This window comes from Homo sapiens, chromosome 20, assembly GCF_000001405.40.
Source record: "Homo sapiens chromosome 20, GRCh38.p14 Primary Assembly".
NCBI classification, from domain to species: Eukaryota; Metazoa; Chordata; class Mammalia; order Primates; family Hominidae; genus Homo; species Homo sapiens.
Genome location: NC_000020.11, coordinates 43989087 through 44010788, shown reverse-complemented (window position 1 = coordinate 44010788; position 21702 = coordinate 43989087). Strand labels below are relative to the sequence as shown.

At 44.7% G+C, this 21702-nt stretch overlaps 1 protein-coding gene and 1 pseudogene across 12 annotated transcripts in view, besides 1 other annotated feature; both read right to left on the bottom strand.

The window, feature by feature from the left end:
- The window catches only part of TOX2 (TOX high mobility group box family member 2), a 154765-nt gene that overhangs the window by 58828 nt on the left and 74235 nt on the right, over positions 1-21702 (bottom strand). For all 12 annotated transcript variants that reach the window (XM_047440561.1, NM_001098797.2, XM_047440565.1 and 9 more), the window contains one exon: positions 3997-4242. In XM_047440561.1, coding sequence (XP_047296517.1) covers positions 3997-4242 — 246 coding nt within the window. The remainder of the gene's footprint in view (positions 1-3996; positions 4243-21702) is intronic.
- On the bottom strand, positions 3252-3541 carry RN7SL443P (RNA, 7SL, cytoplasmic 443, pseudogene; annotated as a pseudogene).
- Positions 4089-4589: an enhancer, noted in NCBI's record as "H3K4me1 hESC enhancer chr20:42634840-42635340 (GRCh37/hg19 assembly coordinates)". NCBI's record gives its function as "activates a minimal SCP1, AML or CMV promoter by ChIP-STARR-seq in naive H9 embryonic stem cells {active_cell/tissue: H9 hESC(naive)}" and the evidence as "EXISTENCE:reporter gene assay evidence [ECO:0000049][PMID:30033119]".

Here is a 21702-nt window from a genome sequence, read left to right as displayed (position 1 = left end):
CCTTGGGGTCTCCATCCCTTCATGATACTATTATCATTATCCCTCGGTTTGCTTCTTGGGGGGATTATGCAAGAAAACGTTTGAAAGCCCTCTGCACGGTGCTTGAAACCCAGCAGGTGTTAACACCAATTCCAGCGTCACCCACGTAGCGTGTATGCCCACGCACACACAGAGCCACGCCCCTTTGTCCTGTGGTTCAGATGAATTTAAAAACTCTTGTCTTGAAGAGTCCCTTGTCTCTCTTCACCAGATAGTCCCAATGCATGTACATCTCCTTATCTGGTTTTCCCAGTTGGTCCGGGTGCCCTCCCCTGGGTAATAGAGTTTGGCTTATCTTTCATGACATAAAGAGAAAATATAAAATTCAGTGAACCCTTGCAAAGTCTAATGGAAGAATTAAGGCTATCTGAATTTGTGAAGCCTCTTAAACATGAGCTACTTTTAAAGAAAATCTGGAAAACGACTGCAAGTGCCTATTTGGACAGAGCCCAACAAAAGCATTTCCTAGGAGGGGCAATTAGGGGGCCATCTTTGACAAAAAGATAACATGCTTTGTAATTATCAGAGCTATTATAATCAGGTGGCCCTACAAATGTACCTGAGGGCGTCTGCAGTCTGCTCCTTTAGGTAAATGAGACTTAAGGGAAAACACTGCCATTCAGTTACAGTCAAATTCGTTTTTATTACAAATAATAATAGCAAGTGCTCATTGAATGTTTACTCTCTGCCAGACATTTGCTAAGACTTTACATACATTATCTCCGATACACTTCATCACAATCCTCAGGTGGGTACGATTATGATTCCAAGACAAGGAAACCGAGGCTTCAAAGGTGAAGCCAGGATCTAATTCTGGTGTCTGGGACCAACCACCACCCCACACTGTCTCCATTCACCCCAGTACCAAAGGCGGCAACACAGTGGCCCCAAACTGTAGCCATGCTCACCCCTGCACCACAGCCCTCATAGCAGATGACAAAGTGCCCACCTGGCCCTGCTCTTGTTTGTATTACCATAAATCCCAAACAGGGATGGTCCGGAGCAGTGAGGTTTCTGCTAGAAAATGAGCCCAGTAAGCAAGTACGGTACAAGCATTCTAACGAACTGGAAACCCATTTATGCCTAGTGTTCCATTACTGAAACGCTAAGCATGTGGGAGTTATTTATATCCTACTGCTCAAGCTCATTGCCAAGGTCTGATAGCAAAAATTCAAAAAATTGCAACCTCAGGCATAAATGGGTTAAAACCATTCCAGACATGGCAGTGTGAGTCTGAATCGCTAGGTTTGAGAGAGAGAAGAGGAAGCTGAGGACTTGCATTATTGATGGACCCACGAGGAAAAAATTTCTGGAGAAACGGAGCATCCATTTTCATTGAACTCTTTCGTGAGAACCAAACACTATGAAATGTGGATCTCGAGTTGGTTTCCTCCCACCCTCCTTCCCTTTCTTGTCTCCTTTTATTTCCCACCTAGCTTCAAAAACAAACAAAAAAATGTGACGTGCCTTATAAAAATACACAGAGGACACCGCTTTTTTGAACAAGGAAGTTTGGTGGTAATAAATGAAGAGTAAACAAAATACAGTTGAGATCGTTTGACTATAAAGCCGTGTCCTAAGGTCCCAGGGGTCTGCTAGAATTGGGCCACAAATTCGACTGTGGCTTCTGAACAGTCATGGCAGAGGTAGACACAAGCCACCCCAAACCATGAGATTCTGCTAGGAAAATCAACTAAGCAGGCCTCCTCCTGTGCCACAGGTGTATGTGTGACTCAAGCTGACAAAATAGTGAACTGCTTCCTCCTAGACATAGTGGTCTGTCCAGCGATGCTGTCATCATCCTCTCTGCCAGAGATGTCAGGGAAGATGCTGGCTGCCAGCAGCCATCAAGCCTGTTGTGTGGAAATGGGCCTTGTGACACTGGTGGGGTTCCTGGATTGAACCATGCCTGAAACCCTGTATCCACCCCCTGGATATTTCATACTCTTTTGTATAAGTTTGAGTTTGGTCCCTGTCACTTAAAAATGAACGTAAGAGTCATGACTAGTACGTAATATTAAATGTGAAGGGAAAAAAAGCAAAAATAAACACAAGTCACAGTTGTTCAGAAGAAGCAATAGAATTCCCTTAAGGAGATTTTTCTGTGGTATAAAAAAAATGCTCTACTGTTCTACCATTTTTCTATAGATTTTGATGGTTCAGATCAGCCATTATTATTTTTTTTTTTTTGAGACAGGGTCTTGCTGCGTGGCCCAGGCTGGAGTGCAGTGGCACCATCTCAGCTTACTGCAACCTTTACCTCCCAGGTTCAAGCAATTCTCGTGCCTCAACCTTCTGAGTAGCTGGTATTACAGGTGTGTGCCACTATGCCTGGCTAATTTTTGTATTTTTAGTAGAGACAGAATTTCACCATGTTGACCAGGATGGTCTTGAACTCCTGGCCTCAAGTGATCCCCCGCCTCAGCCTCCCAAAGTGCTGGGATTAGAGCTGTGAGCCACCATGCCTGGCCTCAAATCAGCCATTCTAAGGATATATATCTCCTTAGAATGGGATTCAGGACCCTTATGATCCAGGCCCTGCTGAGCTCTTTCATCTCCTCTCTCTCCTTGGCTCCAGGTCCTTCCTCTCCAGCCCAATAAAAAGCATGAACCACATGCTATTCCCAAGCATGGCACGAGCACCCTTGCCACCTCCTTTTGTACCTGATATTCCCCCAACCTGGGAAAGGTTCTTTCTTGCCTTTGTCTGCCTGCTACATTTTTACCTATCCCATGAACTTTAACTCAGTAATCACCCTCTTCTCTGGCAGCTTAAGCAAGATACAATTTTTTTTTAATTATATGACTCCATTTCTATGAAATGTCCAGAACAGACAAATTTATAGAGACAGAAAGTCAATTAGTGGTTGCCTAGGGCTGAAGATTTCAGGGGGTGGATTGGGAGTGATGGCCAAAAATATGATGTTTCTTCCTGTTGTTTTTTTGAGAAAGGGTCTCACTCTGTCACCACAGCCTTGACCTCCCGGGCTTGAGTGATCCTCCCACCTCAGCCTCCTAAGTAGCTAGGACTACAGGTACATGCCACCACACCTGGCTAATTTGTTTTGTAGAGACGGGGTCTTGCTATGTTGCCAAGGCTGGTCTTGAACTCCTAGACTCAAGTGATCCTCCTGCCTCAGTCTCCCAAAGTGCTGGGGTTATAGGCGTGAGCCACCATGCCCGGCAACAGAGCATTTTTCTTTTCTTTTCGTGATAGGGTCTTGCCATGATGCCCGGAGTGCAGTGCCTTTTCACAGGCACAATCCCACTACTGGTTAGCATGGGAGTTTTGACCTGCTCTGTTTCCGACCGTGGCCAGTTTACCCCTCCTTAAGCAACCTAGTGGTTCCCCTCTCCCAGGAGGTCACCATACTGATGCCAAAGCTAGTGCAGCCAACTGATTTGCATAGGGCACTACAGCCCAGGACTCCTGGGCTCAAGCGATCCTCCCATTTAGCCTCCCAAGTAGCTGAGATTATAGGTACACAACACTGTGCCTAGCTAGTGTTTCTTTATGGGGTGATGAAATGTTCTAAAATCAATCGTGTTAATGGTCACACAACTCTGTCAATATATGAAAAGTCATTAAGTAGTATACTTTAAATGGGTGAATTGTATGGAATATAAATTATACCTCAATAAAACTGTTAAAAAATAAAAATGAGATTATACTATTAACAAATAATGCAAACCAATACCGAGATACTGTACGCAGAGCTCCAGAAGGAAGCAGTGTGCTGATATTAGATTTCTCTCCATGCCCACCCACCGTGTCCCACAGACTCCCATGCTACCAGGTAATCCCAGCATGGGATTACCAACTCCAAGCAACCAGGTAAACCCAGACCCTGCCCATGAGCAGAGAGTTCTTATCAAAGCATCAACATTCTTCTGCTTCCCTCTCAACCCCCTCCCTGCTGTCATCAGCAGGAACTGCAGCAGGCGATAGGGACTCACCGTGGGCAGCTGGCCCGACAGCAGGTGGCTGTCCTGTGCTAGCATGTTGGACACCATGATGGCTGGGAGGTCCATGGCCTGATAGGAGTAGGCAGGGAGCAGACCGTTGGGGGTGAGGCCGTGGCACAGCGAGTGGTAGCTGGCTTCGTGGTCCCCCAGGTGCAGGAGGGATGGCTCCGGGAGGTTGGGAGGTGTTATCGGGGGGATCTCATAGTCTTCGTTGTTCTCGCTCTGGCCGTTGTAGGTCTAAAACATCAAAAAGACATGTCGGTGGGGGTCAGTGCCTTACAACCGCAGAACATACCCAACAGCACCAATAACAGCAACAATAATAACGATAGCAACCCCTTGGCAAAGGAGAGAAGGGATGATGTTTCTGCAAGGCAGAGGGTCAAGACGGTGCCCTAACTCGGTCAGACTCCTGCCCTATCCCCAAACAGATGTTTCCTCCCACCAGAGGCTCTGCACACAGAAGCCTGCCCTCCTGGAGAATGGGGGCCGGCTCCCCCTGTTCCTCTCTGGTTTCCCACCAGATCTGGCCATCACAGTCCACCTTGGATCCATCTTTCCTGCCCACCCATTTCACAGATAGAGACTCAGGTCCAGGGAGGAAAGCAGTCCATCCATGGCTGGGGGAAGAGTTGGGAATGGAGCTGAAGTATCCTGATTCCAGGCCTGGTGATCTTTCCAGGGAAGCCAGGCCATTTTCTCTTGTGCTCCCAACACTCAGCCCAAGGCTTCTCAGTCTTTCTCATCTTGGTAAATGGCACAAACATCCTTGCAGGAGTGCAAGCTAGAAACCAGGAGTCACCTGTGCACCTTCCTTTCCAGTCCTTCCTTGTTTTTTTTTTCCCACCTCGCCAAACTGTCCAGGAACCTCCAGGACAACGCTGAATAGAAATGGTGAGAACAGACATCCGGGCCTTTTTCCTTATCTTAAAGAGCTCAATATTTCACCACAAAGGATGCCATTTGCCACAGGTTCTTTGAGGTATTCTTAAGCAAGCTGAGGGACCTCCTGGTGGGTCAAAGTGTGTGGCTTTATTAAAATCATGCATGGCTTTTCAATTGTATCAAATTCTTTCCCCCTGCATCCACTGACAGGCTCAAATGACCTTTCTCCTTTAATTCAGTTAGCATAGTAAACATGTAATTTGGTTTTCTAATGGTAGATCAATCTTGCATTCCTGGAATAAACCCTATTTGGTCATGACATATTATTCTTTCTATAGATTGTTGGGTTTTGTTGGCTGATGTTTTGTTTAGGACTTTTGTATCAGGTTCACAAGTGTGACTGGCCTATAATTTTCCTGTCTCATACTGTCTTTGTTGGGGTTTTAGTAACAAGGTTACTTTAGCTTGAGGAGTCATTCTTCCATTTCTACACTCTGGAACAGATTAGACCTAGCAGAAAAGAGGTGTGTCAACTGGAAGATGACTCTGAAGAAATTATCCAGAGTTTGGCATAGACGGTCAAAAAGGAAATATGAAAGAGAGTTTATGTGCACAGCGGACAGAGTAAGAGTGTCTAATGGATGCCTGTTCAATCAGCATTCTGGAAGGAGAAGAGTGAGAGAATAATAGGTCAGGGGAGAACTGAGGAGATAATAGTTGAGAATGTTCCAGAACAGAGGAAGCATATCAAAGGCATTGGTAAATATAAAGGTAAATGTTTTCTACACTTTTTCTTTCATTTTTTAAATGGACATAAAATAATGGTACTTACTTATGGGGTACACAGTGATGTTTTGATACAAATAATGCATAACGATCAGATCAGGGTAATTGGCATATCCAGCATCTTGAACATTTATCATTTGTGTTGGGAACATTCAATATCTTCCTTCTAGCTCTTTCAGACTATATAACTACGTAACATATATTGTTACCTACAGTGCTAAATCTTAAATCAATCAAGAAATATGCATAGAGGTGGGGGGAAACCTAAACCACAATAGCATGTAAGAAATAACACCTTCTAGCATCATTGTATTGTTTAAGTGCGTGTGTTAAAATAGTGAAGGTCACTGAGCCTGGCACAGGACCTGGTTGGTGGTGGCCAATTCCCTGAGTGTCTGCTGGATGAAGTTACTGAGCAGCGGGGATAGCTGGGTGTGTGTACAGCCTGTGGCAACAGCAGAAAGCACAAGATACCTAAATTCCATGGGGGAGAGCCCTAGACTACCCTTTACAGTCGTAGAACAGACTGAGAGGGTAAGTGCCTTGCCACCCTGGGACCCACCACTGGGACCCAGAGCCCACATGGCCCCTTGCTCATTTCCTCCCTCTGCAGGGCTGCAGTGGGATGATCTCATAGATGGGCAAACAGTCATCTGGGAACAGGCCATGACCATGTCCACCTTCCTGCTTCACCTTCTCCTTCTCTGTTCTCATCTAGGGTTCCTCAGGCTGTCCTGAACTCCCCTCTCTTCCTGCCCTACATTGCCTCCCCAGGTGGACCTCAACCAGTCTGGGTTTCGATTCTCATCTAAGTGCCACATTTACCCCTCCAGCCTTGGTCACTCATCTGAGCTCCAGGGCGGAGCCTCTCGATGCCCAGTCAATGTTCTCGTTTGTTGATCATAATACCCCTTCCCCTGCCGTGTCCCTGTGTCCTCTACATCTCAGCAAGTGACACTACCTTCCATCCCGTTCATAGAACCACGAACCTGGGACTCACCCCCTGACATCTCTCAAATCCAATGAAATGTCTCCAAAATATCTTTAAAATCTGTTTCTTTCCCACTGCCACTATCCTAGTCCAGGCCACCACCACCTCTTACCAGCCGTTTTCATTGGCCACTCGGGCTGCTCTATTCTCTTTCTGTAGCCAGACTGGTCTCTGTCAAGATGATCATCACACGATGTCAATCCCACATCAAATGATGAGCTCCCCACTGCCTTCAGGATGAAGTCCACAGTCCCAGATCCAGCCCTGGAAGTCCTTGTATGGCCTGGCCCCACCACCCCTCTAACCACAGTGACCTCTCCTGCCTCTGGGCTCTCCCCTACACAGTTCCCTCTGCTGCACTCCGCCTGCCACACACTGTCCCTCCCGTGGTTAGTTCCTACTCATCTCTCCACAATAGGTTTTGTTTAAATGTCTTCCCTGATACTCCAGGGTAGATCAAACCCCATTTCACACCCCAAGATTGCCCAGAATTTTTCCTTGGAAGCACTCATCGTTATAAGTAGTTAACTGACTTCTTGTGTGATTATTTGTCTGATATTTAACATGAGTTTTGCTCCCTATATCCCCAATGCCTCAGTCAGGACCTGGCACAGAGTTGGAACACAAAGTAAGAGCTCAGAAACAATGAGTTGGCCTATAATCCCAGCACTTTGGGAGGCCAAGACGGGAGGATCGCTTGAGCCCAGGAGTTTGAGACCACTCTGGGCAACATGGTGAAACCCCATCTCTACAAAAAAAAATACAAAAATTCACTGGGTGTGTGGCCATGCACCTGTAGTCCCAGCTACTTCGGGGGCTGAGGTGGAGGATCATTTGAGCCCAGGATGTCAAGGCTGAAGTGAGCTGTGATTGTGCCACTGCACTCCAGCCTGGGTGACAGAGGGAGACCTCATCTTAAAAAAAAAAAAAAAAAAAAAGTTGAATGTACAGCCAGGTCCTGGGGTGGACACCATAAACATGCATCTCACTCAACCTTCATGATTGCCCTGGAGCTGGGAACTACTGTCCCTATCACGCAGGAGGCAGTGCAGTGCAGTGGTTAGGAGCCAGGCAGCTTGGGTTTGCATCCTGGCTCTGCCACTTACTGCCTGTGTGTGACTCTGGGTGCATTACTTACCCTCTGATACAGTTTGGATATTTGTCCCCTCCAAATCTCATGTTGAAAAGTGACCCACTGTTGGAGGTGGGGCTGAGCCAAAAGTGTTTGGGTCATGGGGCAGATCTTTCAGTAGTGGCTTGGGACCCTCCCTGTGGTAATGAGTGAGTTTTTGCTCTATTCATTCATGCAAGAGCTGGTTGTTTAAAGAGACTGGCACCTCTTCCCCTCTCTCTCTCTCATTCTCCTGCCGTGTGACATGCCTGCTCCCCCCTTCACCTTCTCCCAGGAGTAAAAGCTTCCTGAGGCCTCATCAAAAGCTGAGCAGATGTGGGTGCCATGCTGATACAGCCTGCAGAACCATGAGCCAATTAAACCTCTTTTCTTTGTAAAAGATCTAGTCTCAAGTATTCCTTTATAGCAATGCAAAACAGACTAAAACACCCTCTCTGTGCCTCAGTTTCCTCATGTGTGAGAAAGCAGGTAATGACAGTATGTATCTACAGGGCTGCTATAAAGAATAAATGAATCAATAACATGTAAGTTTCTCAGGGCAATGTTGAGCACACAGTGAGTGATGTCAGCGTTAGTTATTGCTATCCTTGCTGCCCTCATCTGGAGTTTCAGAGATGGTGGGGACTTCCCCAAGGACACAGAATAAGCAAACAGTAGCACACTGGGATATGGGGGACAGGGACACAAGCAAAAGGTAAGTAGAGTCAAAATGGTTGCAGGTGGTCATGAATATTATGATACTATGGGGGACACACACAAGGAATTGTATAGGGAGCATCAAAGGAGTAGAGTCTTGCCTTAGAATGGGCAGAGGGGTTGGGAAGGCTTCCTGGAGGTGGCGACTCTGAACTGGAAAGCTGGCAGTGGGACTCTACTTTCTGGGGTGATATGATATCTGTGGCTTATTGCCACCTAAAGGCAATCGGCCCCCAGCCCATCTTGGTGGTCAGGCTGAAGACACACATCACCCTGTGGTGCTCAGACCTGTGCTGTGTGAGTTAGGAACACTCATAAATGAGGATCCTGAGCCAGTGAGCTGCTGTTTACTTATTCTGTGTCTTTGGGGAAGTCCTTTAACTCTCTTGTCCTCAGTGCCTAGCACAGTGCACAGTAATGACTCATTACAACACAATAAATGGGCACGGGAAATGGGGGAATGTCCCAGGCTCTAGTTTCAAACCACAGCTCTCCTTCCCAGCATACTACACGCCCCTCAGCCACCTGCTGTTCATGTGTTTTGACCGACACCTCCCTCCCTGTCCCTCAGCACTGTTAAAATAGGTGCTGGCACAGAGCAGGTGCTGGCACAGAGAAGGTGCCCAGTGAATGCTAACTGACTGCTCAAGTCCATTCCTTTCAGTCAAAAAACAAAACTTCAATCCACTGGAACCGGCCCAATTGACCAGAAGCCTTTTGAAAAAATAAGCATATGCTGTATCAAAATATTGGAATCACACAATTATGACAATTCACTTAAAGAGGCAATTAGCACACTTAAAAATAACTAAGCACGCAAACATGAACATGCCTCTTCTGAATGCAATCAAATCCTACATGCATGACACTGAACACTAAACAACTTGTCCTGAGTACCTACTATGTGCCAGGCACTGAGCCCAGCATGTCCATGTACCTTCTCCATTTAGTTCATATGTGTTCTGTAGAGAAGTGATTATTATCTTCATTTTGCAGATGAGGGACATGGAGCTTAGAGAGTAGAGGTGTCACATAGCTAGTAGGTCCTGGTTGTGATTCAGACCCTGGTCTTGTGACTCCAAACCCAGCATTTTCCTACAGTAGAATTGGCCGTTCCATGGTGCCTAATTTTCTCTCTACCACTGGCATCCTCATGAAAATATAGAAAGAGATGCTAAGTCGTAAGAGCTTTGCCAGTTAAAAATATTAGTAAAATCTTACAGGAAATCTGCAAAGAGTTACCTCTTCATTTCCACTCGTTCTTTCTTAAACCCACTCCAATCATGTTTTCATCCCACTTCCACCAAAACTGCTTGGGAAGGTCATCAATGACCTCCATCTTCCTAAATCCAGTGGCCAATGCTCAGTCTTCATCTGGCCTTCATCTTGACCTTATCAGTGGAATTTGATATAATTAGTTCATCCTCCTCCCTGGGAACAAACTTCTTCACTTGGCTTCTGGGACACCAGAGATATTGGTCCTTCAACATCACAGGCCATTTCTTCTGTCCATGGCCAACATCACAGGCCATTCTGTATGTCCTTTGTTGGTTCCCATTCTTCTCCTTAATCTATTGATGATGACATTCCCAGAGCTCAGATCTTATACCCTCCTCTAAACACACTCACTCCCTGGTGCTCTCATCCAGACTCATGGCATTATGGACCATCTGTATGCTGCTGAGCTCCAGTTCTTACCACCGAGCCAGACCTTCCCCTGAAATGCTGACTCATATAGCCCACTGTTATTTGTCCTTCCCTTTGGATGTTAATTGATACCTCAAACAACTTAACACATTTAAGAGAGAACCTACCCCTCCCACAGTCTTCTCCACCTCAGCTAATGGCCACTCCATCCTTCTGGTTGCTCAGGCCAGAAACCAAGGTGTCACCCTTGACCCCTCTCTTCCTCTCACATCCTACACGAAATGTGTCCAAAAATACCATCAGCTCCACCTTGAGCCATCACCCTCTTTGCCCTGGATGACTGCAGCAGTCTCCTCCCTGGCCTCTTGGCCTCCCTGCCTCCACCTTTGCTAAGGTCCATTCTCACCCCAGGGCCAGAATTATCCTGCTAAAATATAAGCTCTGCTCACAACCCTCTAGAGCTCTCCTTCTCACTCAGATAAGGAACAACGGCCCCATGCTATGTAGTCTTGCTCTCCCCAGTCCCACGTCCTTTTTTACCTCTCTGACGTCATCATCTCCTATTCCCCTTGTTCATACCACTCCAGCTACTCCAGGCACGTTTCTGCCCCAGAGTCTTTGCAATGGCTGTTCCCTTCCTTTAGAATACTCTGCTCTCAATATCCACACAGCCTGCTGTTCTTTCCCCACTGAATGGTCTTGACACCCCTATATAAAATCAACTGGCCATAGATGTATTGGTTTATTTCTACACTCTCAATTCTATTCCATTGGTCTATATGTCTATCCTTATGCCAGTACCACATTGTTTTGACTACTGTTGCTTTATGGAAATTGGGAAGTGTGAGTCCTCCAGCCTGTTATTTTTCAAGATTACTGGTGCTATTCAGGCCCCCTGGCAATTCCATATGAATTTGAGGATCAGATTTTTCATTTCTGCAAAAAAGACCAGTGGAAATTTGATAAAGATTGCATTGAATCTGTAGACGCTCAGATAGTATTGCCATCTTAACATTATTAAGTCTTCCAATCCACAGACATGGATATCTTTCAATTTATTTAGATCTTTAATTTCTTTTGACAATGTTGTGTAGTTTTCAGTTTAGGAGTTTTTCCCCTTCCTGGTTAAATTTATTCCTACATATTTTATTCTCTTAGATGTTATTATATATGGAATTTTTTTTTAGTTTCCTTTATGGGTTGTTCATTGTTGGTTTACAGAAACACCAGTGATTTTTCCATACTGATCTTGCCCTGAAACTTTGATGAATTAATTTATTAAATATTTGTTATAATTTTAAGGAAAAGCAAAAATTTTACACCATTGGAAGAACCAAAGAAAGTAGAAGAAAACAGAACTTTATCAATCTAGAAAAATCTGCAAAGAAAACAGGAGTGAACTATCAAACATAATAAAGAATATTCATAAAATGGCAGCATTAAGACTAAATATTCATAACATAATACGAATGATTTCAATTGCTTTATTAAAAGACAAAATATTTTTATTAAAATACATACAGCATATGGTTTATAATAGACATGCCTAAAATAAAATGACCTGTAAGATAAAAATAAATAGACACCAGCCGAGCATGGTGGCGCACGCCTGTAATCCGAGAACTTTGAGAGGCCAAGGTGGGTAGATCACCTCAGGTCAGGAGTCCAAGATGAGCCTGGCCAATATGGTGAAACTCCATCTCTACTAAAAATACAAAAATTAGCTGGACATGGTGGCGAGTGCCTGTAATCCCAGCTACTCAGGAGGCTGAGACAGGAGAATCCCTTGAACCCGGGAAGCAGGGGTTGCAGTGAGCTGAGATTGTGCCACTGCCCTCCATCCTGAGTAACAGAATGAGACTCCATCTTAAAATAAATAGATAGATAGATAGATAGATAGATAGATAGATAGATAGATAGATAGATGTATCAGGCCAACAAAAAGCAGAGTGGCAAAATTAATTACAAATTAAGTACAAATCAGGGCAAAAAAGCACTAAAAAATATCAAAAGGAACACTTAAGTCAATAAATGATATAAATCTACTAAGAAGAAATGACAAATTTTTATGTAAATTGATAAAACCACAGAAATATAAAATGTAAAAAACTGTTAGTATAAAACCATAAATAAAATGGGCAAATCAGTCAGATAGAAATGAGTGAGGATTGAGGATCTGAATGACGCAATTCACTCTTTTGATTTATTCCTTTCAAATGTCCATAGAACACTTACAAAATATAACCAGGTAAACTACAAAGAGAATCTCAAACTCTTCAAAAGGTAGAAATTAGATAGATCAAATTCTAAGACCTAACTACACTGATAGGCTTTGGCTTTGCATCCCCACCCAAATCTCATGTCAAATTGTAATTCTCAGAGTTCAGGCAGGGGCCTGGTGGAAGGTGATTGGATCATGGGGGCTGATTTCCCCCTTGCTGTTCTCGTGACAGTAAGTAAGTTCTCACAAGATCGGGTTGTTTGAAAGTGTGTAGCCCTTTCCCCATCTCCCTGTCTCCTGCTGCCATGTGAATATGTGCTTGCTTCCCTTTCACCCTTCTACCATGATTGTAAGTTTCCTGAGGCCTCCCTAGCCATGCCTCCTATAGAGCCTGCAGAACTGTGAATCAATTAAACCTCTTTTCTTTATAAACTACCCAGTCTCAGGTAGTTTTCTAGCAATGTGAGAACAGACTAGTACATGCACCAACCTAGTTATTAACAAAAACAAACGAGCAGAAAAAAAAATGGAGGGAGGGAAATCCTCCTACATACTTAAACACTTTAAGAGCAATCATCTAAGTAACTTCTGTGTTAAAAAGGAAATCACAACTGAAATGATGAGAACACTACCTGACAAAACTTATGAGAGATGGACAATGAAAAATTATACTTTTATCAAAATGAATTTATTAGAAGACAAGAAAGACAAACTCAGCACTCAACTCAAGATGGTAGAAATAGAATAACAAAATAAACCGAAAGTCTGTAGGAGAAAAATAAAATAGAAAACAAATTTTAGATAAGAAATACAAGGAAGAGATTGTTTTTTTGAAAAGGCTAATAAAATAAGGAACCACTGACATGAAAAAAGAAAAAGATACCCAAAAGGGAATGAAAAATATATTAATTCTTTAAAAGCCATTGAGAATTCCTTTGATACAGTATCAGGCTAATTTTGATCAATATTTATAATTTTCAGCTTGTTAATTCTATCATTTAAATCTTCCAAACAACAATTACTTTTCTTTTTCTGCTTGACCCTTTGGTTTCTGAGAGAAATGTGTTAAAAATTTCCACTGTGATTGTGATTTTATCAACCTGCTGTATTGCTTCATATATTTCAAAGCTATGTTGTTAGGTATTTACAAATCAGTTGTTATTGTATCTGCTTGTTGAAGTGTTCCTTTTATTAGTGATGGCTTTCTACTTTATCCCAGTTAGTGCTTACATGAAAGTTCTCAGGCTGCCATTTTGACTATCGATCTCCATTTCCCACCACAATGCTGTATAAGAAAGAGGTGAAGATTCACTGAGGGAGTAGCAGGTGATTTGACCTTTTTCCAAAGAGCTTGTTGAGAGTTGGAGTATAGCATAAAAGGAGAAGTGGCATTCACTCCCTGGTGATGCATGGTGAGAAATGATTCTTGGGAGAACCCAACTTGTGTCCCCAGAGTTGAATCCTGATTATGTATTCCAACAACCTTCCAGCTTTGTTGGGAGGAATATTTGAAATACATGGAAACATGAGGTGCTGTAACTCTCATGTATTGAGAGTTACATTGTTGATCTGCAGAAAGAGCTCTGGCTTTGGAGTTACACTGACATGGGGAATCTTACTTGCTGAGGGCTTCTGGCAATTTATCCAAACTGCCTACTACTCAGTTTCCTTGTCTACAAAACCCCACCTAAGAGCTGAGAGAATTATACCAGGAAACAGATGGGAAAACACATTAACAGGAAGTCAGCATAAATCCCACACACACACACCCAAGCAAGAAAAAAAAAGCCCTCGGATGATATGCAGAACAAGTAGAAAATGGCATTTCCATTTTACAGATGAGGAAACTGAGGTTCAAAAGGGAAAAATGACTTATCCAAAGTCATATGGGTAGCATTTATGAAAATGAGGACAAGAAGCCCTGCCTACCAGTAGCCAAAGCTTTGCTCTGCCACTGTTCAAGCTCCTCCCAACACACACGAGTCCTGGCTAGGCCAGGGCAGGCCTGCTCCACGCCTCTTGTTCCAGTGTCACGTTAATAATGTTTTATTTCACTCTAAACAGTGTCCTGGTTTGGCCAGTAAATTATATGGTCGCCCTACCATCTTGCCATTTTAACAAGTAAAACCCGCACCAGCAAGAACATCTCAGCTACAACATCACCGATCATTAGAGAAATGCAAATCAAAACCATAATGAGATACCATCTCACACCAGTCAGAATAGCTATTATGAAAAAGCCAAAAAATAACAGATCCTGGCAAGGTTGCAGAGAAAAGGTAACACTTACACTGTTGGTAGGAGTGTAAATTAGTTCAACCATTGTGGAAAGCAATATAGCAATCACTCAAAGAACAAAAAGCAGAACTACCATTCAACCCAGCAATCCCATTACTGGATATATACCCAGAAGAATATAAATCATTCTTCCATAAAGACATGTGTACACAAATGTTCATTGCAGGACTATTCACAACAAACATGGAATCAACCTGAATGACCATCAAGGACAGATTGGATAAAGAAAATGTTGTATGTGGTACATATACACCATGGAATACTATGCAGTCATAAAAAAGAATGACATCATGTCTTCTGTAGGAACATGGATGGAGCTGGAGGCCATTATCCTTAGTAAACTAATGCAGGAACAGAAAAGCAAATACCACATGTTCTCACTCACAAGTGAGAGCTAAGTGATAAGAACTCATCAACACAAGAAAAGGAAAAACAGACACTGGGTTCTACTTGAGGGTGGGAGGAGGGAGAGGAGCAGAAAAAATAACTAATGGGTACTAGGCTGAATACCTGGGTGACAAAATAATCCGTACATCAAATCCCCACGACACAAGCTTACCTATATAACAAACCTTCACACGTACCCCTGAACCTAAAATAAAAGTTTAAAAAAAGCCATCTCTGCTAAAAGACTGTAGTGCGATTCAGTGTTTCTCAACTCTGTTTTCACAACAGAAAATGACATCTTATCAAAACTCCAAACCCCAACAACTGGAGCTGAGCTCCTAGCACTGTAACTTCTTATCACGGGTATAGTGATTTTATGAATTCTGCGGGGAATGAAATGCAATTTTGTCAGGCTTGTCTGTGTCCATAATGACCGAGTCAAATTAATCATCTCAGATAATACCCCTATGTCACCCACCCCAGACATGTTTAATAGAATCTTTCTGATTCGAGTCTCACCATACATCAGATCTGGAGTATTGTAGCACTTCTGAAAATCAGGACAATTATGCCTTTTGCTTGGCCTGTCATTTTCCTGGACTAAAAATGCTTCTTAAAAAATAAAAAACTAAAAGTCCATACCATATATAAGCCAAACAGGAGAGAAAAGCCATACCGGTAAAATGAAGCGTGGATTCTGGAGGAGGTGGGGGAGGGGAATGTAATATCTTTTCTCAGCCTTTATCTACAGGCAGAACCTCCAAGCCGAGCCAGGCCACTCACACAGGAGTGCATCTAACACCCTCCCACCGGCAGTGTGCCACGCTGCCAGCCACGGCTGCTCTGTGGCTGTTCCTGACCCCGAAATGCTTGGATCAGGGCAGACAGAGGCATCATAGTGGGACAATGACAGGCAGTCACATTAGACAGGAGTTTTGTTGACTAAAACCCTATCTGGGAACAAACATGATAATCCCCATGTGTTCTCGCTCAGGACACAATCTGACTCAAGCTAAGGTTTCAGCAGCATCCTGGGTGATTCACCGGGCAGGGACGGGGAGGCTCTGGAAAGATACATGATTGGTGGGTGGGTTTGGGGGTCCTTTTCTTTAGGAAGCAGCAGTCCCAGCAGAACTTAAGTAGCAAAAGTCGCAAGGCTGGGGATAACTTGTGGGCAACAGCATCTGAATGAGAAGAGGCAGCCTGAAGCAGGCACTGGCCCCATTTTACAGATAAGGAAGCTCAGTTTTCCAATAAGTGGTAGTCTTTTTTTTTTTTTTTGGAGACAGGGTCTGGCTCTGTCACCCAGGCTAGAGTGCAATAGCATGATCTTGGCTCACTGCAGCCTCTGACTCCTGGGCTCAAGCTATCCTCCCACCTCAGCCTCCTGAATAGCTGGGACTACAGGCACGAGCCAACACACCTGGTTAATTTTTTTTGTAGAGATGGGTTTTTGCCATGCTGCCCAGGCTGGTCTCAAACTCCTGAGCTCAAGCGATCTACCCACCTTGGCCTCCCAAAGTGCTGGGAGTATAGGCATGAGCCACCGTGCCAAACTGTTTTTGTTTTTTTAATTGAATTTTCTTTTTCGAGACAGGGTCTTGCTCTGTTGCCCAGGCTGGAGCACAGTGGCATGATCACAGCTCACTGCAGCCTCAATCTCCCGGATTCAAGCGATCTTCCACCTGAGACACCCAAGGAGCTGGGACTACAGGCGTGTGCCACCATGTCCTACTATTTTTTATTTTTTTGTAGAGACCGGGTCTTGCTATATTGCCCAGACTGGTCTCAAACTCCTGGCCTCAAGCAATCCTCCCTGCTTTCCATTCCGAAGTGCTGGGATTACACGCGTGAGCTACTGTGCCCAGCCTCAAATTACATTTTTATAGCTACATATCCAACTGCCTCTTTGATACTTTACTTCCCTTGGATGTCCTACACAAAAGCCCAGCAAACTTTTTCTGCAGATAATATGTATTTTTGGCTTTGTGAGTCATATGGTCTCTGTCAGAACTATTCAACTCTATTGCTATAGCATGAAAGTAGCCACAGGCAATATTTAAACTTAGGAGGATCCCATGTTCCAGTAAAGCTTTATTTACACAAAACAGGTGGAGGGTCAGATTTGGTCCAAGGGCCATGATTTCTTTGACACGTCCAGAACTGAGCTTGTGGTCATCCTTGTACCCACCAAGTCCATTTCCCCCTCAGTATTCCTCTACCGGTGGCTCAAGCTGGGTACCTGGGAGAGATGTTCAATTCCTCCCTCTCTCATCCCCATCTCCAATCAATCACAAAGTCCTGTCAGCCCCACCTCCCCATGTATCTCAAATCTTCCCACCACAATCCATCTGCAGAGCAACCATCCTAGTCCAAGCGGTCATCACCTCCCACAAGGACTGCTGTAATCACCTCCTCAATGATCTCCTAACTTCTAATCTCTTTCCTTCCAAATTGTTCTCCATAGCAGCCAGGGTAGAGGTTCCACACACAAAACTGATGGTGATACTCCCATTAGCTGATGTCCTCTACGCTCAGGATACAGTGTGTGTGAAACCCTCTCTGTAGCCTGCAAAGTCCTGCATGATCCGGCCCAGTCTCCTTCCAGTCTCACCTCCTATGACACCCCCTCATCGCTATGGCCAGCCTGGATGGTGTCTGACATGCCACGTGCCTTCCTCATTCAGCGGGGACTCGAACATCACTCCCAGGTTCCCATCTCGAGCCACTGGTGGAGGAATACTGAGGGGAAAACATGCTTGGTGGGTATAAGGAGGACCACGAGCTCAGTTTTGGACATGTCAACATTCCTAAATCAGTTCGGATCAGCAAATCACAGGCCGTGGACCAAATCTGGCCCTCCACCATTTTTTCTTTTTTTTTTTTTTTTTGTAAACCCTACACGAATGTGTTTCATGTTCTAAAACCAGCATTACCTCTGCCATTTTTCTATTGTTTTATTCTATGTGTTTGCATGTTACATGCTACAAATATTACTCCCAATTTGTCACTTGATCTTATTTATAACTTTTGCCATATCAAGGGCTTTACATTTATGTTAAAACATTAAATGTATTAATGTATGATTTCTGGCTTTCACATCATGCTTAGAAAATGGCTTCTCCATGCTGGTATTACTAAGACATTCAACCACGACATTTTTTCAGATATGGGCCTGGCTCGATCTGAAGGCTATGATCCTTCCTTACGCCACATGAGTTTCCCACAGTGGCCTCAAAATGGGAGCTCCTTTGGCTCCAAGACATTGCGAGATGCTGAGACTTCCCTTTAAATCACTGCAAGGGATGCCACACCCCATGCACGTGCCCTGCCCTCATGTCAATGCTGGGAGGCCTTACAAGGGAGGTAGGGGTATCCTGGCTCCTACACGATCGCTCCTACACGATCACTCCTGATGCTGTCCTGGGTCACTTACCTCTGCCCATGCCACACGTGGTTGGGAGCTGCTCTTGACCATCCCAGCCGTCGATCAGATAAGTCTCCCAGTTCTTCCACCTCACTGCCTCCACTCCAGCCACGTTCCTCAAACATGCCAGGCACACTCCCACTGCGGGGCCTTGGTGCTGGCTGTTCCCTCTACTGCAATGTCCTTTCCCAGATCTCAACTCCCTCGCCCCTTCAAGTCGTTGCTCAAATGTCACTTTCTCAGCAGCGCCTTCCCTGGCCACCCTGTTTGCAAGTGCAGCTCCTGCTGGCACACCCAGCTCCCCTACCTGCTCAGTTTCCCCACAGAACTTTTACCTGCAAACATACAGTATACTTTACTTCTTTAAAATAATGATTATGGCTGGCTGCAGTGGCTCACGTCTGTAATCCTAGCACTTTGGGAGGCCAGACCACCTGAGGTCAGGAGTTCAAGACCAGCGTTGCCAACATGGTGAAACCCCATCTGTACTAAAAATACAAAAATGATCCGGGCATAGTGGTGTATGCCTGTAATCCCAGCTACTCAGGAGGCTGAAGCAGCAGAATTGCTTGAACCTGGGAGGTGGAGGTTGCAGTGAGCTGAGATTGTACCACTGCACTCCAGCCTGGATGACAGAGCAAGACTCCAACTCAAAATAATAATAATAATAATAATAATAATAATAATAATAATAATAATGATTATTGCCTGTCCCCTTCACTAGGATATAAATTCCACCATTTGGTCACTGATATATTCCAAGGGCCAAGGATAGTACCTTGCACATAGTAGGCCCTCAATAAACATTTACTGAATAAAAGGATGCATGAACGAGTAAGGACTAGGAGTGTTTGACTGCTTTGTTCACAGTTTCGTCTCAGCACCTACACCACTGCCTGACGCACAGTAGGTGCTTAGTAAATATGTTTTGGAGTGAATGAATGAATGAACATCCTAATGGTCTGCTATGGCATTGGGCTCAGTGCTGCACCATCTTTCCTGCAAGCTCTAAGAAGTCAGCAAAGGTCTGAAGCAGCCCGCTCAGTGACGCTGTTCAGCATGAAATCATTCTAACTTGGCCCATCGGGGTCTCCTGGTTCCTTGTCCTTATCTTAGCATCTTCTCATGAAGATCTGAGCCCCTACCTCTGACAGGCTGTGTGACCTTGGACAAATCACTGACCCCTTTCTGGGCCTCAGTTACACCAACTGTAAAAAGAGGCAATTGGATCAAGGGATTTTAAAAATCAAATTCAATTCATGCCTGTGCTCCTTGTATGCAGGTACCCAGGCACACACAAGGCAGTGCTGATTTTAAAAGCAGCAAAAATGATGAGTAGGCTCTCTAGTTGTTTCTGTCTTAAAATAAGCTTCTGGAAAAATGATGTCTATTTGCAGCTTTTTTTTTCTTTCCCATTTCTACCTTCTGAAAATGACAGAAGTAGCATTGCCTAAAAATGTGCCACACGCCAGCTGCCTGTGGATGAAGGCACTTAAGTTCTCTGAGAATGGTCCTCATGAGTGCCCCGAGATCCCAGGACACCAGGCTGAGCAGTGAAGTCCCCTAGAGCACACTGCTCCATGGACACTGCCCTGCTCAGACCCTTCAGAACAGGGTCCCGGCCTCTGCTTGGCATCCAAGGCCTCCTGGACCAAGTCCTGCAACCTTGCCTGATACTAGCCACAGTGAACTCACTGTAGCCCCCAAACACTGCATTCTGTGGTATCACCTAGGTGTGCTGGCCCCTCTGCTCATGCCATTGTCCTCCCAGGTGACATTGAGAGGACTTCCACAATACCCTACTGCCTTCCCAGGTGGTGGCACCACAAATGGGGCCCAGTGATCTGGGCAGAATAGAGCAAGGCCTGCTCCTCTTGCAGCCTGGACCCCGTGCTCCTGTAACTATGCCCCAAACATCCCATCAGGGGGCTGCCACCCAGAGCTCATCCACTCCCCTAAAATGTAGTAAGCATCCACTCTGAACTAGGCTTGTGCTGCAACCTACGGAGTTACCAGTAAAATTTTTAAAAAATATATAGCTCAGCCCCCATAGTCACATTGTTCTGACCTGCTTTTCTATAGCTTTTTTCAAAAAATAGCAGAAACCATTTATATAGCACTTACCATGTGTAGAGGTATCCTTATCCTATGTACTTTTCATACATGAATTTGTTAATCTTCACAACAACTCTATGAGGCAGGTGTTATTATTATAATCATTTCACAGAGGAGCCACAGAGATGGGAAGCTTGCATAAAGCCACACAACTGGTAAGAAGGGATGGAGCCATGATTCCAACTCAATGGTTCAGTTCAGGGGAACTGAATCCGGCCAACAACCAATAGAGGGAACTTGGAAGTAAATCCCCCTTCAGTCAAGCCATCAGATGAGACCACAGCCTTGAGTATCACATTGAGCACAGCCTCCAAGAGATCTTAAGCCAGAGGCACCACATGAAGCCACACTTGATTCCTGGCATGCAGTAACTATGAGATGATTAATATATGCTGGGTGGGTTTTTTTTTTTTTTTTCTGAGACAGAGTCTTGCTCTGTTGCCCAGGCTGGAGTTCAGTGGCGTGATCTCGCCTCACTGTAACCTCCACCTCCCGGATTCAAGTGATTCTCCAGCCTCAGCCTCCTGAGTAGCTGGGATTACAGACACATGCCACCATGCCCAGCTAATTTTTGTATTTTTAGTAGAGATGGAGTTTCTCCATGTTGGCCAGGCTGGTCTCGAACTCCTGACCTCAAGTGACCCACCTGTCTGGGCCTCCCAAAGTGCTAGGATTACAGGCATGAGCCACTGTGCCTAGCCCTAATATATGCTGTTTTTAAAATTAAAAAGCCTAGCTCATGAATTGGCACTCTTAACGACTGTGTGATTCTGCTTCTTTATAAATAGAAGGGACTGGGCTCCCGCATGTGTGATGCTGAGCTTCCATGTTGATTCTGTCTTTATAGGCAGCTCCCGACTGCCTCCTCTCCCATTCTCTAACTGCTCCTCAGGGTAGGCATGTGCCTGTGCCCCACCAGCTTATGAACCCCCTCAGCATGGGCTAATTGCTTGCAGTGCTTGGGGAAGGCAAAGTACACTAGGCCAGCACTTCTCAATCTGTAATGTGCACACAAATCAAGTAGGGATCTGTTAAAATGAAGATTCTGATTTAGGAGACTCTAAATCAGATTCTGGGTGGGGACTGAGATGCTGCATGCCTAACAAGCTCCA